The following is a 10,976-nucleotide window of genomic DNA, read 5'->3' on the forward strand; positions in this document are numbered from 1 at the left end:
CACAGAGGTCGAGAGCCACCTCCCATCAGGGTGCGTGGATCTGTTCCGGCTCAGAGAGAGGAGGGCAGAGAACTCTCTCCAATCTCACCGCAAAGAGATCTCCACCCCTTCGAGAAGCACAGAGATCAGACAGAGGAGATGCGGCCCCTTTAGGGCGTCAAAGGGCACCGAGATCTCTACATGGTCTAAACGCGCAGAGATCTCGTCCCACAGAGAGGACAGCCCCAGCGGACGGTTCCCCCTGGGCCCAGAGAAAGGGGGTGCGTGGCTTCCTCCCCCATATCCAGCCCTGCTCGGTCAGCCCCCGCAAACCCCGCTCTCTGGAACCACATTCATGGCGCGCCTAGTCGCCGCTCTGACCTTGGGGTCTCCGGCCTCCGGTATCCGGGTCCCAATCCCAGACCCTCCCCGAGCCTGCGCCAGGGATGGCCGGGAAGCTGGGGCCGCAGCTCCCCCTCCCCCGGCCCTCGACAGCGCACCGGGAAACCCGGAAGGAAAGGGAAGGGAAGGGGGGCGCACGGTGTTTAGAGACGTCTCCCCCGGGGATACCCTCCAGCCGGGCGGATCTGCGCCCCTTCTCCCCCTCCGGCTCTCTGGGGCACTGATCGGGGAGGGAGCGGCTGGGCGGACCCGGGGCAGGGAGGAGCACGCAGGGACTGGAGGCTTCGGCCCTCGGGGAGGAAAGTTGGGCGGCGGCAGGCGGAGGGGGCTCCGGCCGGGCCAGGGCTGCCGGGCGCGGGGGCACTCGCTCACCTGCTGGTCCCCCGGCCGGGCCCCGGGGTGGGCGGCTGCTGCTTGGCGCGGACTCGGCTCGGCGCGGGGCTCGGGGCACTGGGCGCAGGCTCAGCGGCCCCGGGGGAGCGATCCCTGCATCCTACGGGCGCCGCCGCCGTCTCGGCTCCGCGGCTCTGTTCGGGCTCCCGGGCTGGGCAGGCGGCGCGGGCTCGGGCTGGGGGCGGGGTCGGGGGCGGGGTCGGGGCGGGCCCCGCCTGGGTTCGGCCTGGGGCTTGGGGCCCCGGGCTGGCTCCGCCCCAGAGCGACGCGCCCAGGGCTCCGCACGTGGTGCTCCGCCCGCTCGGAGGGGGGACACACCAGCGCCCGCCGGGGCGCACACTCCCACACTGACCCGGGGGCTCACAGCCACAGACAGCCGCACACGCGGCCGCGGACAGACAGACATAGGCGGGGGTACACACACGGCGACCCGGCGACGCTTCACCACAGATGGCCACCCACGCGGACGCGGACAGGCTCACATTAACAAACACTGGCATACACACCAGCACCCGCCAGAGTATACACACACACACACGCAACCTTGCTGACTTGGGAAGGCTACCAGACACCCACCCACCCACGTGGACACGGGCATACACTGACACTCATGCCGAGACAGACACACGCTGCCATAGGCATACCTGCACTGACACAGACACACACATGCACCCTGAGACAGATACACACCCCCACACACCCACACAGACACAGACAGACACATCATTGACACACACTGACACTGAGGAAGACACTCTGACAAACTTAGACACCCACATGACTTAGACACACATCCACTGACACACTGACACAGAGACACACACACTCACTCGAACCACACTTTCCTGGAGACACACTTAGTGATGCCACAGAAATCTGCACAATGGTACACATCTACCTGAACACACGGACGCACATGCTGACAGAACCAAACACACACCCAGACCCAGAAGCAAGCAGGCAACCAACACAGAGACACCCACACACGCGCGCGCGCAAACACACACACACACATACATATATATACATGTATATACCTCTTTATATATATACTTCCACCCTCTTGAGCCACATACAACCTTCACCTTGACACATGCAGAGCCTGGAGTCACATACTTACACACCCACTGTTTCTCACTCAGAGACATGGTCACAGGCACACACACACGGAGACATACGCTGACAAACAGTTGCTCCCATGCCCATGCCCAGGACCTATGGGGACACACTTCTTGTTTAAACAAAACAGGCCATCAGGGCAACCCGCTTGGGTCCCCTTCCACGCTGTGGAAGCTTTGTTCTTTCCCTCTTCACAATAAATCTTGCGCTTCTAAAAACAAAAACAAAAACAAAACAAAACAACAACAAAAAACAGGCCATCAGCTTTTGCCCACGAAAAAAGTACAGTCATTGGAAGGGATGGTACACTTTTCTGCCACATTTTCAGGGCTCCCAAAAGCAAGAACCGCTCTTAGAGAGCCAAATGGGTGCCAGGGTCTCAGAGGGCACAGAGGTGCTGGGTTTGGGAGCCCAGAGGCTGGGACCTGCTCCTCCATGATGGGGATCTTGAAGAGGTGGGAGGGCAAAGAGGGGGGTGGGGGACAGCGTCCGTTTGCGACCTGGGTGTGGGGCTTCGTTGGACGCCTTAGGTACATACGGAGGGGCTGCTCTGCTTGCAGGAGGGGATCAGTAGGAAAGTCAGTCCACAGGAAAGTTCAGGACATGGGCCTCTCCGGCCCCGAGTTGAGTGGGGTGTCTGGGGTACAGACGGATGGACCACACAGGTCGGCTGCCAGCCTTTAGCGCCTGACGAGCCTCAGGTTGGCTAGCAGCTCCCACTATCGGCCAGAAGGGGAAGTGCAGGCAGTGTCAACGTTTCAACCCACGTGCAGCCGCCTTCCCAGAGTCACACCTACCAGGCAGGAGAGTACAGTAGCAGGAAGGTCCTACCTCCCCTAAGAACTTCCATCACGGGCTTCTCGGCCTCAGAATGAAGCTTCTACTTGCAAACTGACATTGGGTCAAGCAGGAGACAAGGCTAGGATAGAAGCTGCTGGGAGTAGGGGTGGATACCTGCCTCCCTTCCGTCCATATGTAGCAGAAGTGGGGTTTTCACTCTCCTGTTTAGTATTGGGCAACTGGATGTTGCCAGCAGGAGAGGTGGGCTGAGCCTGGTAAGTCTACATGCACCCTGAATTTAAACAGGGGGAGAGAAGCCCAGGGGATGGGGAACCAGAGCTCTGAACCTGTAGAAGTTCATCCATAAAAGCACACCTTGTGGTCCTAGAGAGGCCTCAGAGTGCAGAGACAGGCAACAGGTGTCTGGAGACAGGCACTTCCTACAAAGAGCCCTTGCCAAGATCTTGGCTACTCCCTTCTCTTTGCCAGACCCTATTTAAATTTTTTGTTTTGTTTTGTTTTGTTTTGTTTGAGACGGAGTCTTGCATTGCCTCCAGGGCTGAAGTGCAGTGGCGTGATCTCGGCTCACTGCAACCTCCGCCTCCCCAGTTCAAGCAATCCTCCTGCCTCAGCCTCCTGAGTCTCTGGGATTGCAGGTGCTCGTCACCATGCCCAGCTAATTTTTTGTATTTTTAGTAGAGACGGGGTTTCACCATGTTGGCCAGGCTGGTCTCGAACTCCTGACCTCGTGATTTACCCACCTCGGCCTCCCAAAGTGCTGGGATTACAGGCGTGAGCCACCATGTCTGGCCAACCCTATTTAATTAAAGCAATAACAGGAACATGTTGTCAGCTGTCAGAGATAAATGTTTTTAAAAACTAGTATGTCCTTTATTCGCCCCTCAGTTTCGCCCAGGGTTTGCCTTTACTTTGCCTCAGGTTCAAAGCTGGGTTAACCATATCATTACTCCTCTCTTGTGTTTTTGTTTTATTTCTTCCCCCATCATCACTCCACTGCCATCTCCTTCTCCACACAGGCACCCCTCTAGGAGCTAAAGTAGGTCTTTATGTGCACATCCTTGTAAAACAGGTAGTATTGTTGTTTGTGCATATGCATTTTCTCTTCTAACAGCCCAAAGCTTTTCTTTTTATGTTTTACTTCCATTGAACCTACATAATGGAAAACTGCACAAATCCTAAGTGTTCACTTGAAAGGGTTTTCTGTTGTTGAACACATCCGTGTGAGCAGCACAACACAGAAACCAAACGTTATCAGTACCACAGAAGACCTCTTTGTGCCCCTTTCTGTCACCACCGCTACACCCACCCAGAGTTAACTACTACAGTCACATCGAATTCCCCTTGCTAGTTTTGCCTGGTTTTGATATTTATTTAAACTGGAATTGTATAATAGGAGCTCTTTTGTGTCTGGCTTCTTTTGATCAGCTTTACGCTCATGAGAGTCACATGTTGCTGCTTGTTGTTGTAGTTCATTCATTCTTGTTGCTGTACAGCATCCTATTGTATGCATATACCAGACTTTACCCATTCTACTGCTGATGGGTGTTTGGGTAGTTTCTAGTTTGGGGTTCATGAGTAGCACACCTATGAACATTCTAGTACATAAATTTTGATGAACATATGTACCCATTTCTGCCAGGTACATATTTGGGAGTGGAATTGCTGAGTCATAGGATAATGTGTGTTCGCTTTTAGCAGATGTTGCCAGACAGTTTTCCACAGTGGTTCCACCAGTATTCACTCCACCAGCAGTGAATGCATGCATCCTTTAACACTTAATACTTTTGTCATTTTCATTTTATCTCCTTCAGTGGGTGTGCAGAGGTTTCATATTCTGGTTTTAATTGGCATTTCCCTGATGACTAATGAAATTGAGCACATTTTTTATGATTAATGGCTGTTGGTGTGTATGTGCTTTTCATTTATATAAATGGGTATCGTTCTAGATTTCCTTCTTTTCCTTATGTTTCTCCCTCAACACCCTGCTTTTGAGCTGTATCTGTGTTGTGGTGTAGGCAGCTGGCTCTTTGCTTCTGATAGCTGCAGAATGTTCTGTGTTCTGCATCCACAGCACTTTATTAATCCATTCCCCTTGAGGTGAGAGATTGAAGAAGGTAAATGGCTGGAAGAGTAGTAACTGTCTTGTGTTTCTGTTTTCTTCACTGTGCTAATTCCAGGGGTGGAGGTGGACAAAGAAGCAAGTGGGGTCTCGGATCCATAAACAGTCAGGACCAGGAGGCATCTTAGATGGTGGAGGTGCAGGTTGGGGCTGAGAACAGGAGGCCTGGGGGAAAGGCCACACAAAAGCCAGCAGACCCAGAAACGCCTTGCCCAGCCCTCCCCAGCAGAGGCTGGTCCTGCCTCATGCAGATGGCTATCTGTGAGCTCTAGATGGAGGGCATCTGGCACAGTGGAGGCAGGCTTGAGGAGCCTTACTGAAAGTAAGAGGGTCTAGTGAGAACCCTGGTTTCCTCCTTCTGCTGGGCGCTGGAACTCTGACTCTTATGTGCACTTCCCACTAGGCAGGGGGCTGGGGAATTTCACATTGAGACACTGACCAGCCCAAGAGAAAACATCTCTGATACTGGGCACTGACATTACCATCTATACTGCCCACTTGTCAAGAAACTCTGCCTGCTCCGCATTCATCCCCACCCCTCTTTCTCCTTGCCTGCCTCTTCCATGAAGGCTGTAAGAGGCAAACAGTATTTGCCTTTCCAGTTTTTCCTATACCCAGTGGCGGCCATGTAACTTAATGAGGGCCAAGGGTCAGAAGCAAACTTCTGCTAGGGAAGGGCAGTTTCTGAGAGAGCATTTGTTTTCCTGGTAAAAGAGGACAAGAGCTGCTGGCTCTACTGTCTTCCTCTTCTTGATTCTCCCTGCCTTGAATGAGGACATAATGCTTGGCGCTTACAAAACCTCTCTCAGCCTTGAAGGTAAGGCTGGGAGATTTGCAGAAACATTGGCCTTGATGACAGTGAACCATAGAACTAATACCTTTGTACTTCTCTTTCATGCTCTTTTTTTTGAGACGAGTCTTGCTCTGTCGCCCAGGCTGGAGTGCAGTGGCGCGATCTCGGCTCACTGCAACCTCTGCCTCCCAGGTTCAAGCAATTCTCCTGCCTCAGTCTCCTGAGTAGCTGGGATTACAGGCACGTGCCACCATGCCCAGCTAATTTTTGGATTTTTAGTAAAGACAGGGTTTAGTGTGTTGGCCAGGCTGGTCTCTAACTCCTGACCTCGTGATCCAACTGCCTCAGCCTCCCAAAGTGCTGGGATTACAGGCGTGAGCCACCGCGCCTGGCCTTCTCTTTCACTCTTTGTTTAAACAAATAAGACAGGATTCTCTGCCACCCGCAGCCAGATTGTGTTGGGTGAGGAGGGGCCTGGTAGCTCAGTTACTCCAAATACAAACTATTTACTAGCTCTGGTGTTTTTAACCTCACTCTTCCTCCCCATTTTTGAAGGTACCCAATGCCTGGAGTCCTGAGAACTTTCCAGGGTTTTGAAGAGAGTGGCTATCCCTTGCTTTCTTTTGCCAGCTTTCCCTCTGCAGACACACTCTGCTCTGGCAGTTATGGCTCAAACTTGCAGGAAGTTGTCATCATATCCGCTGTTGGCCCCTCTTCTGTACATTTTGTCCTTTTACAATTATTTCACTGTCGGCTGGGGACTGTGGCTCATGCTTGTAATCCCAGCACTTTGGGAGGCCGAGGCGGGCGGATCACCTGAGGTCAGGAGTTCGAGACCAGCCTAGCCAATATGGTGAAACCCGTCTCTACTAAAAATACAAAAATTAGCCAGGTGTGGTGGTAGGTGCCTGGAATCCCAGCTACTCGGGAAGCTGAGGCAGGACAATCACTTGAATCTGGGAGGCAGAAGTTGCAGTGAGCCGAGATCGTGCCACTGCACTCCAGCCTGGGTGACAGAATGAGACTCTGTCTCAAAACAAACAAACAAAAAAAAATTATTTCACTGTCATTTTAGTGACGTTTCAATAGATGTCTTCCACTATATTTTGAAGAAAGTCCTCCATTTCAGTTTCTACCCCAGGTATTTTTAAGTAGTAATCAGATACTACCCTCATGGGTTGTGAGCATTCTTGCTTTATTTTGAAGGCATGAGCAGTTGAGACCCTCTATCTTAGAAGGGGCAGAGAAAAAAAATAAATGTATTCATGGTCAAGGCCATGATCTGCTGCCAAAGGGCTGGTGACCCAATCCTGCCTTTATACCTAGACAATGGACAGGGTAATGCTCTTAATTGAGGGACCATTCCCATGTGGGAAGCACCTGCTGTCTCTTACATGTACCCTCAGCCCAAGTCAGACACACATGCCCTCGCCTCTGCCAGTGGCCCCACTAGCTCAAATAATGCCTGCCTGCAAATCTGCAAATGAGGATGAGCCGCCCCTTCCTCAAGACACTTGACTGCCATCTGCTGGAAAGTTGAGAGAAAATAGAAATCTCTGATGAGTAGGAATGTGCATCGTACTCCAGGTTGTGTGAAGCATGACGGTGCATGGCATCGGCCCCTGCCTCCACCCGTCTCATCTCCTTGCTACAAAATGCAGTCCCTCACCCATCAGCTCTGGCCATTGTAGTGACTAGGGAGCAGGGCTTGGAGGGCCAGAAGCCTTGATAGGATTCTTCACTTATAGCCCATGTGACCTTGTATTAAACACATAACGCTTCTGGGTCTTACTTTACTCATATATAAAATGAGATAATTCTATACTTACCTAGCTGAGTTGTTAAGAGGAGCAAATGAAATAGTATGGGAAGATGTTTTAAAAATAAATATTTTACAGATTGAATTTGACAGTCATACTATCTAAAGCCTATTCATCCTTTGCTTTTGATTGGGCTCCCTAAAAACCCTAAAAACAGACTCTAAAATGGAGATTTGCACTCAGGAAGTTTCTTTGGAGTTCACTTGAAAATAATATTTGTAAGGATGTGAGGGAAGCAGGATTGGGCAGAGGAAGTTGAACTCTAATGTGGTTGCAACCAACGCCTCAGCCAAGCCTCCTGGAAGCTGGGATGACCAGGAGTTGGGGTGACCCCTTGGAGTTGTCCCAATTTTAGGCCAGAGAGGTATGAGCAAGCTTGTCTACCTCCACTTCAACCAGTCATTGGCAGTGGCCTGCTTCTGATGAGAGGCCATAACCTTGGGTGAGCAGCTCCCATGAGGCAAGGGCAATGTCCAGAGAGGGGCACATCTGAGAGCCATCAACAGCCACGCTCCTGGCAGCTGGAGGAACAACCTCCAGCTGGAGGAGGAGCTAGAGGGAGGAATTCCATCCTAAGAGGGGCTCTGGGCAACTCACTGCAGCATGCTCTCTTCCCTTGGTTGTACATGTGGAGTGAGGGGTGTTGTTGGTGCACGCAATATGGAAGCCATAAGAAAAAGAGCCAACCATTGATTCTATACATTATACAGCCTTCCCAGGTCTGAGCTTTGTAGGGTAAGAAGCACCAGACTGTTGTGGCCGGGGAGGGGGGGTCTCCTGGGCATTATCCCTTTCACTCAGCTGGCCTTTCTGGCAGCTGAATCTGCTCCAAGCATATTCTATTCAAAGCATATTCTCAAGTCCACATGGGGTGATCTGCTTCCCCATGTTCCATTGCATTCCACTGGGGACATGTGATCACCCTGAGTTCTGCCACCTTCATAAAGGTGCAATGGTTGTCCTGTGTTTTGTCATACTTCACATCAGTGCAGTGGTGTAGTTATGTAAGAGGGTCAGGGTGAGAGATTTAGAGGCTGCAGATCCAGAATCCTGGTGCCTGAATTCATCCCACAGATGTATTTTTGGGGGCAGGGAGAATGGTGTGCAGGTAAAGTGTGTCAAATAGTTTATAGCAATGTGAATATCTTTGTCTGAGACATGCACTCACCGGGTCCTTTTGATCCCCACCATTCCGTGTTGTGTTATGTTTATTAAATTACCTGCCTGGCTCTGCCGGCATTTGCGATTTTCTCTCTTGGATTAGGACCAAGCAGCACCAAGAGGACTGTGGAGCACCCAGTGTGGCCACAGGAACTAGGCTTAGAAGGAGGTGGGTAGGCTCTGGGCAGGCTGCATGCTGTAATGAGCAAGCAGGCAGGGACAGGAATGGGGCTGAGGGTGGAGGGGAGGGTGACGTTGGTTACAGAGGAGCTAGTGAGCTGTGTTCAGAGCTGGAGACTCTCACTGGATGGGAACTGTGGTTGGGCATTGGGTTTCCACCAGAGTTTTATTTTTATACATTTGAGAAGCATTTTTATTGATACACACACACAACATGGATTAATCTTAAATTGTTGTGTTAGGTGAAAGAAATCAGCCTCAAAACGTTTTGTAGATGTTATGAATTCATTTATATGGCATTTTGGGGAAGGCAAAATTAAAGGAACAAGAAGCATCAGTGGCCGTGGTGGCTGGGGGTGGAGGGAGGTGTGGGCTGACTACAGAGGGGCGGAGTGAGGGAGGGAGCATTTTAGGGTGGTGGGCTGTTCTGTATCTTGACTGTGATAGTGGTTCCATGACTCTGCATTTGTCAAAACTCACAGAACTGGACACCAAAAGGAATGAATTTCCCTGAATGTAAATTAAAATATAAATAAATAAATGGTTTAAAAAACAAGAAAGGAGGCATTTTTACCTTTGTGAGCGGAAGTGGTGCTTCCTTCAGGAATGTGTGAGTGTGTGGGTGTGTGTGGAGTGGAGGAGAGACAGGAGGTATCTCTGGCTGTTAGAGAGATGGTAGTCAGAGCTGCCGTTCTGGAACAGTCCCTGGATTTCAGGTATTTCACCTCTGCTGCTCTGTACATAAGCCTGGTCTAGGGGCTCTGGTTGCCCAGAAACAGGAGTTTGGACTTTGAAACAAAAGGCTGTGTTTTGTTTTGTTGATCAGATGTTTTCTCCCTAAAGCACTCTTCACTCTCTCTTTGGTGGTAGAGAAGAGGGAGGGAGCTGGTGAGTGAGGGAGCCAGTGATCCCACGATGGGGGCACTCCTGAGCCTCCCCCTCAGTTCCGTTCCTTCCCCAGCATCCAGATTTCTAAAAATAAAAACATCAGGGATTTGGAAAGAGGACTGGAGTCCCAGTACTGCATAGGTTAGCTGAGAGGCTGCCCCAGGCCTCAGTTTCCCCATCTCTAGGAGCAAAACTGTGGGATTCTGAAATCCTCCAGTTACCCCACCTCACTCAGCAAGAATGCTGTCATAATGAATGAAGAAGGCACACAAGGAGCAACTCAGCCTCTCCTGCTGCCATTCCCCTGCCTGGGGCTACCTCCTTCACTTCTGCATCCAAATGCTAACAGGAGTCCTGGGTGTCCCAGCCTACCCCGTGCTGCCTGCACACTCCTGAGATTAGTGAATGAACAAAGGTGTTAGACCTGACAAGAGGATTCAGGAGACTTTGGTTCTTTTTTTTTTTTTTTTTTTTTTTTTTACTGGAAGTCAATGCTTCGGGCCAGAAAATGCTTAGACCTGGCAGCGGCTGACAAAAGCTGCCTCTTGTCAGCAAGTGTATCAGCTTCTGAAAGAGATAAGAGGCAGGGGGCTGGAGTGCAGGCTTCTCAAGTGAACGCTGACAGGAGAACAGAAGAGCTGCCTCCCACTCTCATCAGCACGGAGATCCGGGCTGCCAGGGCGGAGACATCAACCACTCCAGCCCCCACACTGCTCTGATGAGGGGAGACAGGTCTGGGCACCGACAGTGACCTGCCCAGGGCCCGCAAGCAGCAGCGGCTGTTGCTGGGGTCCCTGGGGAAAGTCTGGGGACCTGTCCGCCTAAATGCGCACTGGGAAGAGTGGAGCTGCTCTGGACTTAGCTGTGGAATGGAGGCAGCCTTGTAATTTCTGAGCGCTGTGGAGAACAGAATCCATGTGGCTCCCATTCTGAGAAAGGAGTGTTGGAGGCCCAATCAGCCACAACTCCCAGGGAGGTTGGCTTCAGCCTGGGCCAACTTCGGGACCACTTCCTTACTGATGGACCTTTCCATGGGAACAGGGTGAACACAGGGCTTGATGTTTGTTCTTTTGGAAGATTCTACTGAATAGCTCTCATTCATTTCCAGGGTCCAGACCTTAGCTGTAATGCCTTTTAGGGCCCCACCTGGGATGCTCTAGATAAACATCCAATAGAAATGCCTTTTCCTATGGTTGTTGTCAAGCCTCTAGGGGTGGACAGCAGGGAGAGGCCCTCCGTTTTCCTCCTGGCTCATGTGCCTGGTCTATACCTGTTGGATCACACTGAGAAGCAAAATTGAACTGTTTAATGCTTCTGAGGC

General features: G+C 51.4%; 1 protein-coding gene across 12 annotated transcripts in view, besides 1 other annotated feature; it reads right to left on the reverse strand.

Moving 5' to 3' along the window:
- The window catches only part of SCN5A (sodium voltage-gated channel alpha subunit 5), a 101,626-nt gene extending 100,716 nt beyond the window's left edge, over positions 1–910 (reverse strand). For all 12 annotated transcript variants that reach the window (NR_176299.1, NM_000335.5, NM_198056.3 and 9 more), the window contains exon 1: positions 754–910. The gene's annotated coding sequence lies outside the window, so the exon portion shown is untranslated. The remainder of the gene's footprint in view (positions 1–753) is intronic.
- Positions 869–1,028: a silencer, noted in NCBI's record as "silent region_14214". NCBI's record gives its function as "represses an Ori minimal core promoter by ATAC-STARR-seq in GM12878 lymphoblastoid cells {active_cell/tissue: GM12878}" and the evidence as "EXISTENCE:reporter gene assay evidence [ECO:0000049][PMID:35858748]".

This window comes from Homo sapiens, chromosome 3 (assembly GCF_000001405.40).
Source record: "Homo sapiens chromosome 3, GRCh38.p14 Primary Assembly".
Lineage (NCBI taxonomy): Eukaryota > Metazoa > Chordata > Mammalia > Primates > Hominidae > Homo > Homo sapiens.